Source organism: Homo sapiens, chromosome 12 (assembly GCF_000001405.40).
Source record: "Homo sapiens chromosome 12, GRCh38.p14 Primary Assembly".
Lineage (NCBI taxonomy): Eukaryota > Metazoa > Chordata > Mammalia > Primates > Hominidae > Homo > Homo sapiens.
In genome coordinates, this window is record NC_000012.12 from 100,899,050 (window position 1) to 100,922,545 (window position 23,496).

At 37.3% G+C, this 23,496-nt stretch overlaps 1 protein-coding gene across 15 annotated transcripts in view; it reads left to right on the plus strand.

Moving 5' to 3' along the window:
* Nucleotides 1-23,496, plus strand: part of ANO4 (anoctamin 4) — a 411,381-nt gene that overhangs the window by 181,789 nt on the left and 206,096 nt on the right. For 10 of the 15 annotated variants that reach the window (XM_011537912.3, XM_011537911.3, XM_047428302.1 and 7 more), the window contains 2 exons: nt 2,597-2,791; nt 23,177-23,281. In XM_011537912.3, coding sequence (XP_011536214.2) covers nt 2,597-2,791; nt 23,177-23,281 — 300 coding nt within the window. Of the gene's footprint in view, nt 1-2,596; nt 2,792-23,176; nt 23,282-23,496 lie in introns of those variants that run through there. The other 5 variants (XM_047428305.1, XM_047428303.1, XM_047428307.1 and 2 more) reach the window with 1 other exon arrangement.

Consider the following 23,496-nt stretch of genomic DNA (forward strand, 5'->3'; position numbering starts at 1 on the left):
TGTGGTGTCTGTCCTACTTATAGAGAGAGACCTCTGGGAGTAGAAGGCTCATACTTGCCTAGGCACCTGAGCATCAGAGTGCCTGGGGGCAGCCTGCCAGCCTATCTCCTACGGGGCCACCCAGCCTGACAGTCCTAACCTGGGTGAATCTCCTGAGACCAAGGCTTAGGCTCACAGCATTGTGGGCTTAGAAACAACATCTTGGGGGCAGACTCATACCAAGCAATTCATGTGGAGGTAGATGTGTGAAAGCCCAGGATGTCCATCTGTTAGCTCACACTGAGAACCCTAGCTGCCAGGTAGACAGGAACACTAGCGTGAAAACTCTCTTCCTGTACTGGAAGCCCAATCCTAATCCATAGGTTATCCGGTGAGCACTGTTGGAATGAGGGCAGTTAAATGGATAAAGGAGAGTAAAACCATATGTCAGGACTGTCTGGCGGTGCAACTGGAATTCTTGAACTTAGTCTGTTTCTTAGATGAGTGCTGCCTATATTTGTTACAGTTTGTTTTAATGATTTCCTGGCTTAACAAGCCCTAATCTGATTTGAGTCATCCTTCCTTAAGATTTGCTAGAGTTTACAAATTGGCCCAGGTCATATCCTCTTTTTCCCCTGGGAAAATTTAAGGTGACCCTTCTTACCTTTGACATGACCTATGATTGGTGATTTTGCAGTTTACCTCTTAGCAGACTTGTTATTTTCCCTGTTTCTGGGTTTTTAGTAGACTTCTTATTGTAGCTTTAAAATAATTTTTTTTACATTCCATTTTTTTAATGTTCAATATCCATTTTAATGCATACAACAACATTATAAGGTAGATACTGTTTTATATCCCATTTACATATAAAGAAACCTGAGACTCAGAGGCTAATGAACTTGCCTAGAAATACCTGGCCAGTAAAGGAAGAGGTTGTGATTCAAACCTACGCACTCTGATTCCAATACTTAAGACATACCTGTGGCTACTTTTCTGAATGTTTCACATGTACTATCTAATGTAATCCTTACAGTTACACAATTTTTATTAAAAAGTACAGTTCTCACTCAGAAAGAAAGAAGGATTTGCATAAAAAAGAATTTCAAGCCCAGAAATACTAATATTACAGGTGTCAGGAATAGTAACATCCAGCCTACTTCCAGCCTTTCTCTCTCTCTCTTTCTCTCCTTCCCTCCTTTCTTTTCTCCCTACTTCCTTCTCTCTCTCTCCCTCTCCCACCCTCCCTCCTTCTTTCTCTTTTTATTTACTTACTTATTTATTTATTTTTATTATACTTTGAGTTCTAGGGTACATGTGCACAACGTGCAGGTTTGTTACATATGTATACATGTGCCATGTTGGTGTGCTGCACTCATTAACTCGTCATTTACATTAGGTATCTCCTAATGCTATCCCTCCCCCCTCCCCCTACCCCATGACAGGCCCCAGTGTGTGATGTTCCCCTTCCTGTGTCCAAGTGTTCTCATTGTTCAGTTCCCACCTATGAGTGAGAACATGCAGTGTTTGGGTTTTTCTGTCCGTCAATGATAGACTGGATTAAGAAAATGTGGAACATATACACCACGGAATACTATGCAGCCATAAAAAAGGATGAGTTCATGTCCTTTATAGGGACATGGATGAAGCTGGAAACCATCATTCTCAGCAAACTATCACAGGGACAGAAAACCAAAAAATCCAAAATAATTTTTAATTCTCTTTCTTATCGGTGTTTCTTAGCAAGAATTCTTCTGTAGTGAAGAATTTTCCCTCATCAACTAATAAAAAATGGCTAGTAAAGGCAGGATAAATGCTTGCTTTATTCCCTTTATTAATCTTCTGAGTAACGAATTGGTATCTTAGGAACCTCCAATGGTGAACAATGAGTGTTTTAAAAAGATACACATTGAACTCAGCCTTTCTTTATACAGTTGATATGCATCAGTAGATGGAGTCCATATTAATGATGTAATCTATATAGGCTGATGTAATCAATTCTACTTTTGAGGAGATTGACATGATGTCTGGAATTTGCTTTAAATACTCCAGCATCTAAAAAGCAAATCAACAACAAAGGGAGTGGGATCGATGAAAAAAAATTGGAAAAATCTTGATATTTGTTGACACTGGTTGATGAGTACATGGAGTTCATTATACTATTCATTTTGCTTTTGGTATGTTTGAAATATTTCCAAATAAAATAGTTCTCAAGATGCATATAATTCTAAGGTTATCAAGAGTGTAAATGTGAGTTTAGCCAACAACTTTGGCCTATCTGTGAATCTTGTGGAGAAAGTTCTTGATTTTTATTGAAATTCCAGATACCCCAACAGTAGTTCCTAAGCCCTACTGCTTTGGCAACAGCATGTCAAATATGTGCACATTTTCCCAGCATTTTGGAAGGAATTTTTATAAGAATTTTCAGATTTGACTGATTGGATCCTGATTCATAAAAGTCTTGTCTTGGTAACTAAGGATGTCTACTTTTGAGTGATGCATACCTTAAGAATTTGAAACATGGTTGCTTCTGTTCTCTGGACTTCATATGAGAGCGTAACAGCCTTTTAGCCATTCTGAAGTGACTTCTTCAGTCTAATGGTGCCATTTCTCATTCCAGGTTTAAGTTTATCTATTCATGGGGCTGAAAAGCGTTTGCAAATCCATCAACGGCGAAGTGTGGCAAGCCGCCCAGCGTCACGTCGTCGCCTGCCTGTGGTCAGGCATTCCTCACTCCCACCAGGCAGAAGGTCAATAAAAATGGAGGCAAGCTCTTCTGGAATCACTAATGGAAAAACCAAAGTCTTCCACCCAGGTGATGCATGGGGAAGTTCAACGGGGACCCATTTCAGTAGCAACCTGACCACAGTCTGCATTATATTTTTATTGTGTAAATATGCCATACTTTCAGCTAAGCTTGCTTTTGTTAGGAGTCTTGTTCTATTTCCCCTTCTGCTCACCTCAGTCAATGGTAAATATCACCAAGACGAATAAGAGGGGAGAGAGCTTGGTGGTTCAGAGAAGGTTGAGGCTATGTGCACAGTGGTAGAATCTAAATGAAAATCAGAGTGCATAAACTCTTGCTCAGTTCAGGAAAGCTCATTATATAATAAAACAACATAGAGATTTGGTCATTTTCCTGATAATTTGCTCTAAGATTGGTCAGGAAAAAAATTCAAGCCAAAAAACACCCACTTTGAAACCTAGGTTATCTGTGTTGGCTTGCCCACATCCTCCTGAGATCAGGAGAGAAGACTGGAGTCATTATATTATATTGTTTTAAGTCTTCTGGGAAGCATCTGTGATCTCTTTAAAATATTAAAATGATTCTACATTAAATGAAGTAAAAACATCTTATGTGCTTATTTGGGGGAAAAGCTCATTTAAGTATTCATTCATTCATTGAACAAATATGTATTGAGTGCCAGCTACATGCTAGGCATTGTTTTGGGTTCAAGGAAATATCAGTGACCAAGGCAATGTTCCTGCAAAGTGACTTTATAGAAACATCAAATTGCGAAAGAATTCATAAGTCATTGAGAATAACTCTCACCCAATCCTGATTCCTCTCTGTAATGTCCTAGTGGATGACCACACAGCTGCTACTGAAGCCAGCCTCCATCTCTACTCATGTCACACCACCTTCTCTCTCTTAGCATGTAACCTTGCTTCCTAACCCATCAAGAAACACCAGGGCCGTTGGGCATGAATTACTGGAGGTCCCTTATCCTCTCTCTTCAAATGTATTGCTCTTTATGCATCATTCCCCACTTTCCTCCAGTTTTCAGAAGATGAGGGGCCTCCCACTGTCTTTGACCAAGCTCTTACCCATGTCCTTTAGCCATGGTCACCTTTCACCTCTTCTGAAGCTTCCTCAGGAGAATGTGTCCTCTTGTTTTCATCTCTTTCACCCTTCCACACTGCTAGCTGTTTACCTTCAGTCTATGAAAAGGCTCAAGCTTCTACCATTCTGATCATTTAACACTGTACCCTTTTCCCTCTTCTGCCACTTTTTCCTCCTCCCTTCCAAGCCAAACTTCTGAAAATAATAATTTACTTTTGATTGCTCTGTTCTGTCGAGAGTAACCAACACAATCTGGTTTCTAGCTCCTCCATTCCATTCTGGCTGTTTTTGAGGCCCTCAGTGACCTCCTTTTATCACAATGTAGTGGATGCTTGCCAGACTTTCCTGATGCACCAGACCAAGGTGGACAACCCACTTGTTTCCCAAACACTGTTCCCTTGGCTTCCATGACAATCTTAGGGTTCTTCTCTTATTTCTCTCGCATGTAACTTTCCTGGTTTCTCCCACTCCAGCATCTCTTTCCTCCTCTTGCCTCCTTTCCCAGTACGTACCAAATCCAGAATGATTCATCTGTACCCCTAATCAGTTACTGTGCTTGTTCTACCAATTACAGGGTCCAGTTCAAACTTCTTAGCATGTTAAAAACAAATGCCTTTTGTGATCTGGCCCCTACTGCTTTCACCCTTCATTTTTTGCCCTCTTCTTCCTTAAGCTTTATTACTATAGTGCATCAATCAAGGTTCAATCAGAAAAGCAAAACCAGTAGAAAGTATGTACTAGAGACTAATTACAAAGAATTGGCTTTCATTGTGGGAGATGGCTAGGCAAGTCTGAATTCATAGGTCAGGCTATCTGCAAGGGCAGGCTGGAACTCTTGGGCACAGCTCTTAAAAGCTTCAGCTCTGCTTTTAAGGCTTTTCAACTGACCTAGATTATCAAGGAGAATCTCCTTTACATAAAGTCAACTGACTATGAACTTTAATTGCATCTACAAAACACCTTCATTGCAGCACTAGATTAGTGTTCATTGAATAACTGGAGACTGTAGCCTGGCCAAGTTGGTTCATCAAATAGACCATCGCATCTGAGTATATCAATGTGCTTTCACTTCTCTAAATATGTGATGCTGTTTCATGCCTCCCAACCTTTGCTCCTGCTGTTCTTTCTTCCCAGGATACCCTGGTTTTGCTCTGTTATCTTTGAACATGTTGAAATTACTTGTCTATCCGTCCACTGAAAGGTCTTTAAGGGCAGGGATTCTGGATTATTTATCTTTGTACTCCCAATAAATATTTGTAGGGTAGGACCGAACAAAACCTTCATTAGCTGTGTTTTAGACTACTACAATAGCTTCTGAATTTTTCTGCCTGCCTTTCTTTCAACAAGTACCTGATATACATCAGTAAACAAAGCAGACAAAAGTCCCTGCCCTTGGGGAGTTTACGTAGTAGCTGCAAGAGATAATAAATAAATATATTAAAGAGACCAACTGTGTAATCTATATTATAGTTATATGTAAGCTATATATAACATATAGTGTTTAGGGAAAGGATAAGTATTATGGATAAAAGAAAAAGTAGGGGAAGAGGGTAGCATGTTGCAATATTAAACATGGTGATCAGGGTAGGCTGAGTCACGAAGATGTGTAATCACTGACTAGAAGTTTCTGAGACAGCCACGTGGATGTCTGAGCAACTTCATTCCAGCAGAGGGACAGTTAGTGGACAGGTTGTAGGGTAAAAGTGGGTCTGGCAATTTGAAGAATAGTATGGAGGCTCCTCAACTTGGAGTGGAGTGAGTGAGGTGGGGAATCAACTCAGTGAGGTTGTAGGGACTAGATCGGGCAGGACCTTATAGGCCATTGTAAGGACTTTGAGCCCTATGTGAAAGGAAGCTCTTACAGGGTTTTGAGCAGAAGAATTCCATAATTTGATTTATATTTTAACAGGATGTAATATAGACTATGGGGAGAATAGATTATAGGAGGAGAGGATAAAAGGAGAAAGGTCAGATAGGAGGCCTCCAGAATGATCCAGTGGAGAAATGATGGTAGCTCTGACTAGGAACAGCAGAAGTAATGGTGAGAATTTAGAGTCTGGATATATTTTAAAGCTGGGCCAACAAAATATCCTAATGGATTGGATGTAGGGTAAAAGAGAAAGAAGAGCAAAGGATGACTGAAAAGTTTTTTTGGCCTGAGTGAAATCAGCTGAGATGGAGAAGGCTGCAAGAGAAGCAGATTTGGTGGGTTTGAGGGCAAAGGTGGGGCTGAGTTCAGAAGTTTGATTATAGATGTGATAATATTGAGAGCTGGCAAGATCTTGTGGGTGGTAGTTTGAGCTCCATGTCTGGAGTTTGAAAGATGATTGGTCTGTGAAAGAGATATAAAACTAATAGTTGTTGACATATAAGTGCTATTTAAAGAAATGAGATTGCAAGAGATGACCAAGGGAAGAAGTATAAATGGGGAAGGGAGAGCATCAAGGGCTGAGATCTGGGACACTCCAATAATAAAGGGTCAAAGAGGACATGAACCACGAGCAAGAAGGCCAGGAAAGAAGCACCAGCAAAGATGGAGAAAACCCAGAAGTGCCACATCTCAGAAATTACAAAAGTTTATCAAGAAGAGAAGAATGGTTTTCTAGGCTAAATGTTATTGAAAGTCAAATAAGATGAGGACTGAGAATTAGTCGATTTTAGTAAAGTGGAGGTCAATGGTGATTTTGATAAGAGCCGTTTTAGTGGAGTGGTGGGGATGAAACCCTGATTGAAGTGGATTTAAGGGAGATGAGAGGATATAAATTAGATGCTCTGAATATGGGCAACTTTTTTGAGCAGTTTTGCTATGAAGTGTAGTGAAGAAATAGGGCAGCAGCTGGAGGAGAAGTAAGGTCAAGAGTTTCTTTTAAAAATAGCAGCTCTCCAGCAGATAATTTATGGTGTTCAAGAGAGGGGAGAATTTGTGATGTGGGCATCAGTGAGAGGATGAGAGCTATGCACAATAGGACCATGGATAGTTTATCTGTGATAACTGGTGGGAAGGAGGCGTATGTATATAATGGCAGGTGTGCTGAGGGTCTAATAAGTTCTTTTCCTATGTTGTCAGCTTTATCTTTAATGTGAGAAGCAAGGTCATCTCTGAGAATGAGAATGGAGCCACAGGGAGAAAGAGAGAGAGAAAGAAAGATATGGAGAGGGGAAATATGTTTGCCAACTCACATTAAAAGGGATTTGAGATTCATAGTCATGAAACTAAAGTAGGACTAGTTATCATCATTGTGTAGTTTTTAATTTTGTGTAGCTACATGAGTAAAGACATACAGTTGGTGGTGAGTTGGATTTGAACAGCAGTGTGGTTTTGCAAAGGAAGTAGGAAAGAGAGAAAGGGAATCAAAAGTGCATGGAAGGGAGTGATGATAGTGATTCATTTTGTGATTTGGTAAAGAGGGTACAAGACATCAAGGGAAGGAGGTACAGTGAAAAGTTGGTAAGATCAATCGGTTGAAATTCCCAGAGGGTTCAAAAAATTGTGGGGGTTAGGGTAATAGAAGGAGGATCTGGAAGGATAAGAGAGGTGGTAAGAGAATGGAATGTGTGGCACTAATATTGTGGCACATATCTTAATAACATTTATTTAATTTTATTATAGTAATATCAACACAAGATGCTGTTACTGGTAATGACAAGGTTTAGGCCAAGGTACAAAACAAGGGACTATAAAGGGTAGAAGGCAAGATCATTGAATGAAAAAATTCCTAGGGACTGAGAGGCCAAGATGTGAAAATGATTGAGTCAAGAATTGAGTAGCTTTGGGAAGAATGATAAGCCAGGCATTAACTTTACTGAGAAATAAGGGAACATGATCTGGCAGGTAGCAGGAGAGTACAAAGATAAAGGGTAGAAGATGATGTAGTATAACAACTTGAGATTCAAGGCTGAAGGTGTTTGGGGAAGAGGGAAGAAGAATGGTCTGAAGGTGGATTTGAGACTCAAGAAAGGTATCTACTCCTCTTTCAGATGCGTTGGTGCCAGGGCTATTGGAGAAAAACAGTTCTAAGTGAAAGAGCCACAGGGAAGCATGACCACTGGGAAGATCCAGGTTTTCCTTAGAGCAAGGTGAATGGGGCAATCTGAGAAGAGATTGACGACATTCAGAGAATTCTGGAGAGCCCAGTGGAAGGTTTTAGATGTTGGACAATTGTCTTCAGTGGTTCTCTCAGACACCAAGGTTCTCCTCCAGAGAGGATAATTAGCATCAGCCTTCCTCTTCTTAAAATTGTTATGGCTATCCCGAAGAAAGTGCAGCCTTGTGAGCCCACCTTTTCAAGTCCTCTCCAATTTAGCCTCTCCCTACTTTTCCAGGCTTATCTCATTTTACACTGTCATTATCCATGTTATTCAGCTTCAGGCATCCACAGGCTTTTTAGTATTTCTCAAGCAGGCTTTTACTCTTCCATTTTCTTTGCCATTGCTCAAGCTCCTCTCTCATCTTGGAATATCCCTTCCCCTAATAAATGTCTACTAGCCCTTCTCATTCCTCAAAATGTAACTCAAATTCCGCTTCCTCCAAGAAGCTTTCTAGATCTTATAGTCAGAATTATTCCCCTACTTCCCCGTGCTTCCACAGAACTTAGAAGCCTTATCAAAGTCCATCTGTTTCTATGGTCTTATAGTTCTCCCAGAAGGCAGGAACTCTCCTCAATTCATCTTTGTATCTTCCGTCACTCCTAACATCATGCGTTGTCCCTAGTAGGTTCTTAATAAATGATTTTATGTTGTTTGTCAAAATCTGTTCTACTCAGCAGATATAGGTTAGCATTCTGAAGTTATATGGCGTAAATCTTAACTCTTCTTTCATATGACAATCCTTCAGTTGTTTAAGAAACTCATCCCTAGCTATTTTCCAGGTGAAACATTTCCTAGTGTCTTCAGTGCTTCCTTGAATGACATGATACTCAACTTCTTTACCTTTGTACCCTCTCCACTCTTAGAAACATTCTTATTTCATTGCTATCTCTTTGAAAATGCAGTGCCCAGAATTGAGTATTCCATTAAAGTCAAACGCAGGCAGTGTAGATTCAGTCTGTCCTTTCCTTTAATTGATATCCTGTGTTGATATTACTATAATACAATTAAATGAATGTTATTAAGATATTCCTAATGGTGTTTTATCAACATGGGCTAATTCAGCCCACATTGTGAGTTAATATTTCAAGTCTCTTCCCTCACCTTAAAAACACATCACTTGGATGAGTACGGTGGCTCACGCCTGTAATCCCAGCACTTTGGGAGGCCGAGGCGGGTGGATCAGCTGAGGTCAGGAGTTCAAGACCAGGTGGAGAAACCCTCTCTCTACTAAAAATACAAAATTAGCCGGACGTGGTGGTGCATGCCTGTAATCCCAGCTACTCAGGAGGCTGAGGCAGGAGAATCACTTGAACTCGGGAGGCGGAGGTTGCGGTGTGCCAAGATTGCGCCGCTGCACTGCAGCCTGGGCAACGAGCAAAACTCTGTCTCAAAAAAACAAAAACAAAACAAAACAAAAAAACATCACTTTACTTATCTACCCATCATTTTATCATAGATCCTTAAACCCTACATATGTCGAGTATTGGTTGAAAATATAAATAAAGCCAATCCTCTAGCCTAGAATTATAATTAAGAAAAAAATATATTAAGTTACAATTAGAAACTTGTTATTTAAAAAAAGTATTTTTAAAACTCATATTATTCTGGCAAGGTAGAATATGATTTCAGTTCCATTCTCTTTATTTTTAGTGTACTTGGACAAATGCATCATAGTTCTCTGTTGGGAAATTATGGAAGAGCTCTCAAACTGAGTTTCTTAAGTGCAGTGAGTCATAGATCTTAGTAGCAGCTTGGACAATTTAGTCATATTGAGGCCTATTAAGTCATCCATCTATTTTTTACAAAGTTAATAATCCCTGTTCCCGAAGTGTTCTCTAAGGCCCACTCGGATTGGTTACTAAGAACAAAAAGAGAATTTGGGAGTCTTGTAGATTTTCTGTTCCATCTGCCTGAACAATTTCAGTATGTTTATCCTCCTTTGAGTTTACAAACTTTTATGAGGGCCTACTATTTACTAACAAGGATTTATTGGGAATTTGCCCTCCTTGGAGTATTTTGAAATGGTGCAGAACTCTATTAAACATGGGTCTTAAGGCACTCAGTCATGTCCAAGAGAGACAATCAGTCAGGGTTCTTTGTTACCAACAAGAGAAACTAATCATTTAGTCCAAACAAAGAAGGAATTTAAATTTGAAGAATGTGGATGGAAAACCTAAAGAGCCAGCCTTGGAAAAGGAATCGAGAAATCAAGAATAGCTATTTGATTAGAATAGAATATCTTCTATTTGACTATCTGGAATGATTGAATTCTTACCGGTTTTTCTAGTTTTGCATCATTTGGCTCACGTTTTGAAGATTTAGGAGGACAGTTCTATTGGCTATGCACCTTTCCTTTGGTTGGACAGACAGTGCTGAGACAAATGATAGGACAGAAGACCTCTCTCTTCAGCCTTCATAGTGGGAGGGTAGGACTCCTTGATTTCTTCTGCTACCTTGACTACACACAGCGAGGGAGAAGGACTTCCCCAAAAGGAAATAGAGGTGATGTTAGGAAACAACTTTATGTGGAAGAATGCCCACTACAGGGACATGTGCTTAAGCTGCTGTGATAGAAGTCAAACTGTATTAAGGGCTGGAACACAGAAATAAATAAGGTTATGGCAGCATAACCTTATTATGCTGAAGAGAATTTAGAAAGACTCAAAACACATATGGTCTACCAATTTGACTTTGAAGGTCAACTAGGATTTCAACAGAAGGAAGAGGCATGACCATTCAGATGCAGGAAAGAGCATAATGATAGGAACGGTGCATTACACTGGTTCTGAAAGCAAGCTTTATCGTTAGGTGTTTAAAAGCTAGATATGTCACCTGATGGCTATTACAGCCTTAGACAAATTACTTAATTTCTCTGAATCTTAGTTTCTACATCAGTAAAATGAGGAAATTAATACCTACCTTATAGTATTAGGGCTGCCAAATTAAATACAATGTTCCCAATTAAATTTAAATTTCAGATAAACAAGTATTTTTGAAATACTTGTTTGAATTTTTGAATATTTGAATATTCCTAATTCAAATATTTGAAATTCAAATATTTGAAAATTCCTAAATATTGCATACGACACACATAATAAAAAATTATATCGTTTGAAATTCAGATTTAGCAGGACATCCTGTATTGTAATGTATTATGTCTGGCAATCCTACATAGCCTTGTTATGGCAATTAAATAATTGGTGTAGAATGTCCAGTTTGATTTTTGGCACATACTTGGTGTTCAGTAATAAATGGTTGATAAATAAAGAAATCATTTTTCTTGTCACCAACATGATAAGCAAAATTCAGAACCCTGAAAGTACCTATGCCTCAGAATCCTTGTTATCTCAGTTACCACTTCATTTAGCAGTTTCCCAGTTAACTTGTGCTAGAATACCAATAAGATGGTCTCTCATTATGCTGTATAAATACAGAAACCATTCATCTTCATCTTGTATTTGTATGGTTTCTCTTTCCTTCTGATTGTTTCAATTCTTTCTCCTGTTTATCAATTTCATTTTGACCTTATCCTTTAGACACTCATAATTAATGAATATTATTTTCTGCTTCCTTTATGGACCAAAAATATAAGTGGTAAATGGTACTAGGTTTGGGACTATAATTTAAGACTCAAGAGCATAGTAAACTGAAGCACTGATTTTGATTTTTTTGAGTTTGAAACTATAAAGCTTAGTGGATATAGATCAAATTATCCCAGCTAATGACTATGCCATATAAAATAGAATTGGAAGCTTTCTGAAATCTAAAATACTTCTTCTATTGCTTTTTCCTTATCTGTTAGACCCATCATACAATCCTAGAGAAGTGTCATTAATCACAGAATATGTCCTTTAGTCTCATTTAGAATTTGTAAAATAATGTTTTGCCGATATGTGTTATTCCCAAGTAATTTCTAATACAGGTTCTTTTATCTCACTTTTTAAAACCTATGGCCCTTTCCACATTTATGCATGATTATTGTTCCCTAAGAATCTATCTAGTATTTAAATGCTAGGACATAATTGATTTTCCAGGAGAGAAACATTAGGATTTTCTTGTTTCCAAACAGCTAGAATGATTAGTACTGTCTGTATACTTAGGCATTAAATGCATAGTTTGATAATAATAAAATTATAGCTACAATATATTAAGCCCTCTACCATATTCCCAACCTCAAAAACTGTTCAACTGTTTTCATTCATTATCTCATTTAATTCCCATAATATTCTCATGCTATTTTCCTTATTTGATGGGTGGGGAAACTAAGGCATGAAGAAGGGTAAGTACCTTGCCTAAGGTTATACAGCCAGTAAATGGTGAAGGCAAGATTCTAGCTCAGGTATTCTTATTCTCTTATTTAATGTGCTATTACTTTCTTCTTCACACAACTTGGCAGAAACATTTCTAGCAAATTATCATAAAAAAGCCTTAGAAAATTTAAATTAAAAGCCCTGCAGTAGCTCAAACCTTAGCGTAAGAAAACCATACTAAAGAAGGGACCAGTTAGGTTCTGTTGATTGCTTGTGTAATCGTCTTCAAAGTTTATTATTTCCTTCAGTGTAAGTGATGTCCACTTTGTAGCTTCTCTTTCTGGTCTACTATGCTCTGGACTTTTGTTTTTCATCCTCCATTTTTTGGGTTCTGATATAATAAAATTCATTCCTATTTCCCTGAGTTTCAAAGATTTCTTTCTGGAACCAATGTCAAGGCCTGGTCTCAAATTAGGGAACAGACTGTCTTCTGTTTCTCCCTTTAAAGAGCAGTACCAGAAGATGTGGGGAGAGGGAGAGGAGAGGATTATTAAGGAGAGACTTTTAAAAGAAGAAGGACAGTCAAGAAAGACTTGTTCCTAGTTCTGCCAAGAGTCAGGATAAACTTATGCTTTAGGGAAACAAAAATAAGGAAAAGATAAATATATGACCAATCTTTAGAATAACGATCATAATACTGCAACCCTACATTTACTTGATATTCTGTTGTTTCCAAAGGGCTTTCACAAATTTTTCTCCTGCATTTCATTTAGTCCTCATAGCAGTCTGTGAGGTGGAATTATGCCTATTTTACTATGGCATAGGAAGTGAAGTTACTAGCTCAAAAGTACAAAATTAGCAATTGACAGACCCCAACTAAAACCCAGGTATTTAATTTCTTATGTGGCCGGGCGCGGTGGCTCATATACGTAATCCTAGCACTTTGGGAGGCTGAGGTGGGCGGATCACCTGAGGTCAGGAGTTCGAGACCAGCCTGGCCAACATGGGGAAATCCGTCTCTACTAAAAATACATAAATTAACCAGACATTGTAGTGCAGGCTTGTAATCCCAGCTACTAGGGAGGCTGAGGCAGGAGAATCGCTTGAACCTGGGAGGTAGAGGTTGCAGTGAGCCAAGATCATGCCACTGCACTCCAGCCCAGGTAACAGAGCAGGACTCTGTCAAAAAAAAAAAAAAAAAGAAAAAAGAAAAAAAAAAAAAAGCTGAAGCAGGAGAATCGCTTGAATCCGGGAGACAGAGGTGGCAGTGAGCTGAGATTGTGCCACTGCACTCCAGCCTGGGTGACAGAGCGAGACTCCGTCTCAAAAAAAAAACAAAAAAACAAAACTTATTATGGGTGTTTTTTCCACGGTGTCAACTTTTTATCTTGAAGATGAGCATTAGTTAAGAGTGAAATTTTGGGGGCTTTCTATCCCCTTTTCTGAAAATAGACACTTTATTGAGAAGTGTGGCTGAGGTTTGCTTATAGGATCTAAGGAACCTGGCTGTTCTCTTGAACAGAACTGAAGCGTGGATGAGATAATCAGTCTTCCTATTTGTGAATGGATTTTTGGGGTGGCTGGAAGATAAAATTGTATGGAAAAAGCGACAAGGGCTACTTTGGACTTCTGTTTTATTTCTCATTGCATTGAAGGTGAATGTGGTGCCTTTCAGAACAGTTAGTGCTGTGGTTTAGAAATAACACTGTAATTATCCTTCATTTGAATCTCTTCCTCTTTAAGTGGGTTTTTTTAGATGTGTGATGTGAGTTTAGTCAATAGGTGGGGGTGCTTAGGAAAACAAGCTATTTTGGTCCTTGGCAAATGTGGGCATTGGTATCTGTGTTCCTTGCTATCATTTGCTGAGTAACAACATTATTTTTTTTCTAAAAATATATACCACATTCTTCTCTTATTTGCATTTGCTTTTCATTTTACTGAGGGACATATACACACACATTTTGATCTATAGGATGCATTTAGAGGGAATTTTCTGAAAAATCATTTTACAACCTTTTGAGCACAGAAAGTGAATGAAGAAGAGCCATAAAAAGGCAGCCACAAAGAAAAGCAAATGGTTAATTTCTGGAAAAGAGCATTGCGTTTTGTGGAATTTAAAACTGCTTCTTCTGCCTGAGGCTATTTAAAATAATTTTATATTTTAGAAGCTTGAAGAGATTTAAGTACAGCAATGTGCCCCTTATCCATAGCTTTGTTTTTCATCGTTTCAGTTACAATAAGAATTCTGAGAGAAAGACAGAAATTGCTCTATCATTATTGTTATAATTGTTCTATTTTGTTATTAGTTATTGTTATCAATCTCTTATTGTTCCTAATTTAGAAATTAAGTTTTATCATAGGTATGTATGTATAGGAAAAAAAGCATATATATAGGGTTCAGTACTATCCACAGTTTCAGATATCCACTGGGGGTCTTGGAATGTATCCGCTGAAGATAGGGCGGGATGCTTTAACCATTTAGCTCAGGATTATACAACTATAACTAGTAGAGCTGAGATTTAAAAGTCTAAGCCCTTAGCCATGGTGGATAGTCAGTTAATAGTGAGCTTTTATTTTGCTTGATTGTCTGAGTTTGAGCTGACAGGCCGATGCACAAGAGGGGCAGAGTCCTAGCTTTTTTGAGGATTGTCATTTCGCAAGGGCAATATTCCTTCTCATATTTATCTCAAGCCCTTCATGTATAAAGACTTATTCAAGACAAAAGGGTAAACAACATTTAGTGAGGCTGAAAATTGCACAGTTTCTGTTCTGTAACGCCTCCTAATCCTGAGTTTGTCTCTTCTCCTCATCTGCAAGAGCCCTCGTCATCACAACAGACCTCAGCATCTAGGAGATTGGAAGACACCACAGAATTCTGCCTATGTGATTCACAAATCCTTCTTGCTATTTGAAGCTTTGCAATTCTGACTTCCAGGCCCTCTAGGGAACTTTTAGTGCAGGGATGCATTATAACTTAGGAGATCATGATCTTACCAATCCTGGAAAACATAGAAGCAATTCTGCTGAAGGAGAGCCATTACTGGCCGATGCAGTAGAATTATTATTTCCATTTTAGACCTGAGAAATATCTGCCTGCTGTTAGCCAAATGTGGTTCTCCCATCAGGACCCAGTAAAGAACTTGGCCATTAGGACTACTCAGCATTAATCATTTGAGGGAATAGCTTTAGCCTTATAGTGACTAGTGTGAGTGAATCAATATGTTTATTCCTGCTAATATGAGCCAAGCTTTCTTCTGTAAAAGAATGAACTTACAACATCATAAGATTTATGGTTTTACACAATACTAATAAAATGACATGAATATTTTTTGCACGTATGAAGCATCTTCTATTGTGAAGCTTTTTTAGTTTATGCCACACACAAAAAAAGGATTTTGGTAAGTGCTACAAATAATGTTAAAAAAACAAGATGGAACTTTTTTTTTCAGAACCAGTAGCATTTCCTACATGTAAATCTATGGTTTCCAATTTCATATTCTCCAGAAGAGCTGAATTCATTTCCTTTCTCTCTTCTTCAGAGACTTTTCTTGAACACTGGCTGATGCCAGGAAAGTCTGTAAAGACAGAATGGACCTCCCTCCCTTCTTTTTTATTTTTATTTTTTTAAGATACAAGGACTCTGTTGCCCAGGCTGGAGTGCAGTGGCATGATCATAGCTCACTTCAGCCTCAAACTCCTGGGCTCAAGTGATCCTTCCGCTTTAGTCTCCCAAGTAGACGTGATTACAGGTATGCACCAATATGCCCAGCTAATTTTATTTTATATTTTTTTTTAGAGATGGAGGTCTTGCTATATTGCTCAGGTAGGTCTTGAACTTCTGGTCTCAAGCAGTCCTCCTGGCTCAGCCTCCTGCAGCTCTGGGGTTACAGGTGTGAGCCACCACACCCAGCCTTCCCTTCTTTCTTAACACCATTCTCCATCTCAGTACTGTCTTAGGAACACAGAATTCACCTATGGGGAGTTCAATACAAAACTCCCAGTTTAGAAAATGGGTTCTTTGGTGCCTCTTAAGTCCAAAAATATTACATGTGAGGATTTATTTTAGATATGTAGCTCAAGTTTTGAAATATCACTGCTACCTATTCTATAAAAAATGCTGTGTTTGAGAATTTGTATTAAGTATACCTCTCAGGACAGGAACTACCAAATAAAAATATTTGTAGAATATAAATAGAATGTAGACAGAAGCTCAGCTCTAGCAACAGTTATTATGAGGCTATCATAGAAAATATCATTTGTCCTCTTAAGTCTGTTTTACACACTCCCCATCTTTTCTGTGACATGGGGAGGGTAAGAGCTGATTTGTCAGGCTTTCCTTTATTTTGGTTTCAATATGAAGTAACTATTCCAAGTCCCAGGTTACAAGATTTTTAAAGTGGAATTGTTTTTACTTAGCCTAGGCCCCAAACCTGGAGTAGGCCCTCATTTTGCAGAGAATGAATATATAAAATTTGTAGTGAAGCACCTAGATCTAACATGATGGGCCAAATTATTTATGTATAATGTCTATAATTTGTACTACAGCCTCCAAAAAATTTTAGTTTCCCATTTTTTCAATGAGAAAGATAAGGCTTATTATTATTTAATGAGTCAAGGTCACATAAAAGTAGCATTCAAATCCAGGTTAGTTTAGTGCCAGTATCTCCTTTTTCAATCACTTGTGTTAATTTACATATATGACATATGTCTATAATTGATTGAACAAGGAAAGGAATTTTAAGTGATTTATTTAAAGTAACTAAACTAAGGCAATCTAATGAAATTACTAAGAATAGTGATTTGGTGAGTGAGTGGAGGGCAAGTGGAAAGTGGTAGTAATGTAACTTTTACATTGTTATGTGTCACAGCAGAAAAACCATATATAGTATATAAAATTGGAAAATCATGAAACAATGGGACACACACATAGAAGGATCCAACAGAGACTCTTAAAAGTCCTTTTTCCACTGAGGAAGAGGACAGAGATTGCAAAAAGGGTAGCTATTGATTTTTATTGTAAGCCCTTTGGTACTTTGATATTTTGTTTATTATTTGATAAAATTTAACAAGATTTTACTAAAAATCAAAAAGTTATGATCTATAATATGTCTTTCACAGTAATCTACTGATAACCTATCAAGATGCTTTAAATTGTAGACTAAAAAAAAATCAGAGCGTCTTCTTAGTTTATATTCATTATTGTTATTCATAATGTGAAATTGCAGTGAAAGAGCATTAACTGAGCATCTAATATGTTCAAGGCCTTGTTCTAGGTTTTATAGGAGATAAAAGGGGGATACAGTTTGATCCCAGGCTTCAATGTGTTACTGTCTAGTTGAAGGTGCTCTCAATGAGGAAGAAATCTAGATATGGAAAAACTAGGAACTTAAACATTTTCTTTGTCTGCTTCATACTGTGCTAGGTACTCTGACTCATTTTTCATAGAAAACATATACTATAGAAAAGACAAAATATAAAGAGCTATGTGAGTTCAGTGGATAGAAAAATGGTTTTTACTTATCAGGATCAAGAAATGCTTCCTGAAGCAGAGAATTCTAGGTGGGCCTTGAAAGCAAGAAGGGATTTCTATGGACAAAGAATGGATGGGAAGGCATTGACATATTTGCTAATCAAGAAACTTATGTTTGAAACTCATTTTTTTGTTGCTGTTTCTCTTGTATAAAAGTGCTTTGATGCCCTGGAAGTTGAGGCTGCAGTGAGCTGCGATTGCATCATTGAACTCCAGTCTGGGTGACAGAGTGTGACTGTCTTAAAAAAAAAAAAAAGCCTAGCTGTAAGCTAGGTACAGAATGAATTTTAAAAATATTGCTTGTCCAGCTAAAGACTTTTTATTAAATGTAAATGCTGTTACCAAAGTTACAGAATCACAATTAAGTATTGAGTATAACTTCTGTCCATAAAATGTGGGGAAACTTAAAGACAAAATGGAGATCACATGGATTTTGTAGCTATTCTTGATTTTTTTTTAATTGGTCAATGTGTTTCCACATATTTAGGGATCTTCTTAGCTTCCCTCTTTAATTTATTTGTTTAGTTTCCTTAGGATTGTACTTAATTGCATGTTAATTACTGATGCCCAGTGGGGCTGTATTTTAAAGAATCTTCAGTTTGAATCTATAGTATCTTTACCATCTTGCCTAGTTTTTCAAGTCTTTGTGTTCTGATCCAAAGGCCAAGATATCTGTGGCTATGGCAAAGAACTCAGATTCTTAGGTTTTTAGAAATTATAACAAAAAGCTATATGAATAACAATAAATAAATAAAATCAGTAGTACGAAGTAGGCATAGTACATTTTTTACATTGAAGTCATTTAATCTCTCTCACTTGGGCACTATAAGTTAAAGGTGGAGATTGTCATCTTTGAAGATTCATTGGTACACTGATCACTCTCCATTTAGGAAAGCTTACAAAAGTCCTTGTTTTACAGCTCCCTCTCCTTTGTAGTGTTAGACTTAATGAACGGCTTATTGTCAGAAGTTCCAGACCATTACATTATACTCTATGAAAGAGTATTCTGTATTTCTTCTAGAGCAGAGACAGAAAAATATCTTATATTTGGGGGACTCTATGTGTGATCATAATGTTTAGCATGAAGAGAATGTTGCATTTTGAAGCTGTTTGGTTTATACATTTTAAAAAATTACATGAATTTAGAAAATCTGTTATATTAAATTGGATATTTCACATCTATGGTTTAATATCTGCAGTCTTTATTTTCAGTCTTAAATCCTGAACTCCAAATAATTATTAATCTCCACAATCCCACTCTTGAATTTTTACATGTCTTTAAAGTTATAAAAGTGTTTTGTGCTAAGGGCAGTTGCAATGGCTCACGCCTATAATCCCAGCACTTTGGAAGGCTGAGGCAGGCAGATCACTTGTGGTCAAGAGTTTAAAATCAGCCTGTGAAACATGGAAATACCCTTTCTCTATACAAAATACACAAATTAGCCAGGCATGGTGGTGCGCACCTGTAGCCCTTGGCTACTTGAGAGGTGAGGTGGGAGAATTGCTTGAGCCTAGGAGGTTGAGGTTGCAGTAAGCTGTGTTCGCACCACTGCACTCCAGCCTAGGTGGCAAAGTGAGACTTTCTCTCAAAAAAATATTTTTATTCTTATTGTGAAAAACATAAAAAAGATAAAGTATAAAACAAAATCTACCCATCATTTCACAGCTGAGGGATAACTTCTGTACCTATTTTGAGTATTTTCTTCCTGTTATATTTTTCTAGTCATATAAATGGGTATGTTTTTTAATATGCAGTCATGCACCGCATGATGACTTTTTCATCAGTGATGGACCACATAAACCATGGTGGTCCCATTAAGATTATAATGGAGCTGAAAAATTCCTATCGCCTAGTGATGTTGCAGGTGTTGTAATGTCATAGTGCAATACATTACTCACGTGTTTGTGGTGATGCCGGTGTAAACAAACCTACTGTGCTGCCAGTTGTATAAAAATATAGCACATACAGTTATTTACAGTATATAATACTTGACAATTAAACTACTATGTTACTGGCTTATATACTCTACCTTTTATTGTTGTTTTAAAGTTTACTCCTTTTACTGATTAAAAAAAAAAGTTAACTTTAAGATAGCCTCAGGCAGGTCTTTTAGGAGGTATTCCAGAAGAGAGCATTTATATCATGGGAGGTGAGAGCTCCATTCATGTTATTGCCCCTAAGACCTTCCAGTGGAATAAGTGACATTGATAATCCTGACCTTGTATAGGCCTAGGCTAATGTGTGTGTTTGTATCCTCATTTTTTACAAAAAAAGTTTTAAAAAAGTTTTTAAATTTAAAACATAGAAAAATGCTTATAGAATATGGATATAAAGAAAGAAAATATTTTTATGGAGCTATAAAATGTGTTTTTGTTTTAGGCTTAGTGTTATCACAAAACAGTCAAAAGTTAAAAAAAATCTAAAAGGTTACAAAGTAAAAACTTACCATAAGATAAATTTATTATTGAAGAAAGAAACATTTTTAAATAAATTTAATGTGGCGTAAGTATACAGTGTTTATAAAGTCTACCAATGTGCAATAGTATTTTAGGCCTTCACATTCACTCACCACTCAATGACTCATTCAGAGCAACTTTCATTCCTGCAAGCTCCATTCATGGTAAATGCCCTATACAGAGAGACCATTTTTTATCTTTTATACTCGATTTTTACTGTACCCTTTCTTTGTTTAGGTATTCAAATACCATTGTATTACAGTTACTACAGTATTCAGTGCAGTAACATGCTGTACAGGTTTGTAGCTTAGGAGCAATAGGCTGCACCATGTAACCTAGGTGTGTGGTAGGCTATACCAACTATGTTTGTGTAAGTACACTGTATGATCTTTGCACAATGATGATATCTACCAATGCATTTCTCAGAAAGTATCCCATCCTTAAGTGAGACATGACTGTACTTGGGACATGTCTCTGTGTGTGTGTGTGTGTGTGTGTGTGTGTGTGTGTATGTATGTATGTATGTATGTGTGTATGTATGTATCTATCTATCTATCTATCTATCTATCTATCTATCTATCTATCTAATCTATCTGTCTATATTCTTGTATTGGTTTTCCTCACCTTTTCATTATAAACGAGCATTTTCCCACATCATTAAGTATTCTTTGAAGACAGAATTTAATGGCCTGTATGCTTCCTTTATGGTGCTTCTTTTGTGTCTTATACTTCTATACTGCCCTCTCACATTTAAAAAAATTATTAAAGGTTTTTGGAATCTTTGTTATTAAAAATTCTAGTTATCTAGTAGTCATAGCTACTTCTACCTGAGTTTATGAGCCCCTGCTTATGACAAATAACAAATAAATAAATTGGGCTTCTATTTATTAGTCTATTTAGGAAGTCACTTGTTTTTTAGCTTATGTAATGTGTTTTGTCTTGATCTGAAGTATTAGAACACAGGATCATTTTACTGGGTTATGTTGGATTTATTTGGCAAATCCAGTTCTCTTATCTCCAATAGCCTGTGTTTGTGACTGCTTGGATATGGGTGATTTTAAAGACTAGTGAAGAGCATGGATTGTGATTACATATTTACACCTCAATAGCTGTGTGACTTTGGGCAAATTACTCCATTGCATCGCACCTTCTTTTCAAGATTAAAGCCTAAATGATATCATAAAGTACATAGCCCAGAGCCAGGCTGATAATTGAATATTTTTGTTATTTTTCTGTCATTGTTGTAATTATGAGGTCTTTGGCCATCAAATAGAACAAAGCTGACTAGCCTTAGTTGAGATTGAAAAGCATCAGAACTTTTCTTTACCCATTAGAAGTAACTGGCCATGGAAGAAAAAAGCAAATAACCCATTTTAATTCTGGACCAGCAGGAAGGCGTCTTTGTCTGTCCTGTCTAAGAAACTCTCATAAGTAGCTTCAGACTTTGCAATGAGGCAGCTGCATTAGTGCATCTGAAAAGTTCACTGCTGTGGCTGGAATGTTAAATAGCAGTTCTTGACAGTGACCGAAATGCATACCTGGGGTCTCAAGGAAAGGACTTAGGACTTCCTTTTCGTTATTCACATTGTTCAATACCTAGTCTGTCTCTATATAAATGCCAGTGTTGCTTTAATAAATTATTATGGATGATCATAGTAATACCTGTAGCTGCTATTTACTGAGTGCTGACTACGTGACAACTAAGGTTTTTGTGCATTATCTCATTTAATCCTAGTGGCTGCTCTGTGAGTCTGTTATCATCATCCCTATTTCACAAAGGAGGAAACTAAAATTTAGAGAGGTTCAGCATTATCTAATAAGAATTTCAACGTTGGTCTCTCAGACTCCAGAATCTGAGCTTGTAGCTTTGCTCTTAGCTCTGTTGTTTTGGTTTTATAATTACTGCATAGCCTCATTCATTCATTCAGCCTGAGAATCTACTTTGTTGAGAATCTACTTCATGCCAGCTCCTGTTCTAAGTGCTTGGGTTATAGCATGCAGGCAAAGTCCCTGCCCTCCCAAGGCTTATTTTCTATTAAATATAATAGAATATTAAGTTACCTTCAGGTGTTTTACTCCTAGAATAAGCGTTCCTGTGAGGCTATGAGTTATCTTATTCTTGAGCTTTAGGAACGTAACCGAAATTTTGTATAAGGCTGAGTATACCTCCTAAGCTTATGAGATTTCTACAGAATTTCTACAAAATACTGGAAGCTAGGGCATGTTCCATTTTATGCATCAGGCTGTTTATTTTAGCATTGGCTTTTTAGCCCTGGCAGACTCCTCAAATCGGAGACGTTCTTACTGATTACTTTAAGAAGCTTTTAGAAGGTTTGGAAGGTTTATTGTTCGTGATAAAGCTACTTTTTGATACCTTGGTTTCTTTGACTTCCTTAAATGTTCTATAGGTGTATGGAGCAGCATAAAAACTTTCTTTCTTTAGAACATGCCAAAAATACATCAGACAAACCTAGAACAAGAGGCTTAATTACTTCATAGAATAAATTTTCAAATTCGGATACAGTTGAAAAATAAATGATGAATCGGGGAGGTCTAATTATGAGGGACCTAAGTATTAATACCTTGTTTCCGTAATATCAAGAATATTAAATCCATCCTTAAGAATGAATTATTATAAGAAGAAGATGATATCATAAAGTGTTTGTGTTAATGTCACATTTAATCCATGTGGAAGCTGAAAATAATTTTAAATATCCTTAGGTAGAGGCTATGTTATATTTTTTACGTAGGGAATTATCAGTAAATACTATGAAGTGTGTTTCCTTATAAAAAAGTAGTTGCCTTATTTTGCATTGGAAATACAAGTGAACCTTTTTGGTCCCATAAAATGCAAATGGCTTGTATATGTTCCTTTTTTTTTTTTTCTTAAGTCCTTTGTCTAAGAAGGAGGATCATTGGCAAACCAGCTAGCCATTCACTTTGGATTTTGACATAGCTTCTCCTTGGGACCCTAATGACAGACTCTCTGATAACCAGTGCAAACTCCATGAATATCTTTCATTTCTCTAGAAGGAGGTGTGGATTTGCAAGGCTACCAGCTGGATATGCAAATACTACCTGACGGGCCAAAGAGTGATGTGGACTTTTCAGAGATTCTTAATGCAATACAAGAAAGTAAGTTTCACTCAAATTTTAAATTCGCCGTGAGAGAAGAAGCTATTATAATACTTGGGAGGGGTAATAAACTAGAAACCTTAGATGTCAAGCTTTAAAAAATATTAACAAAATGATGTCTTGAAAGAGATACTGTGCAAAATAATTTTGAAACTAGAAGAGATAGTGAAAGAGGTTTAATTTGTGAGATTAAATCACATAATAGTGGAATTTTT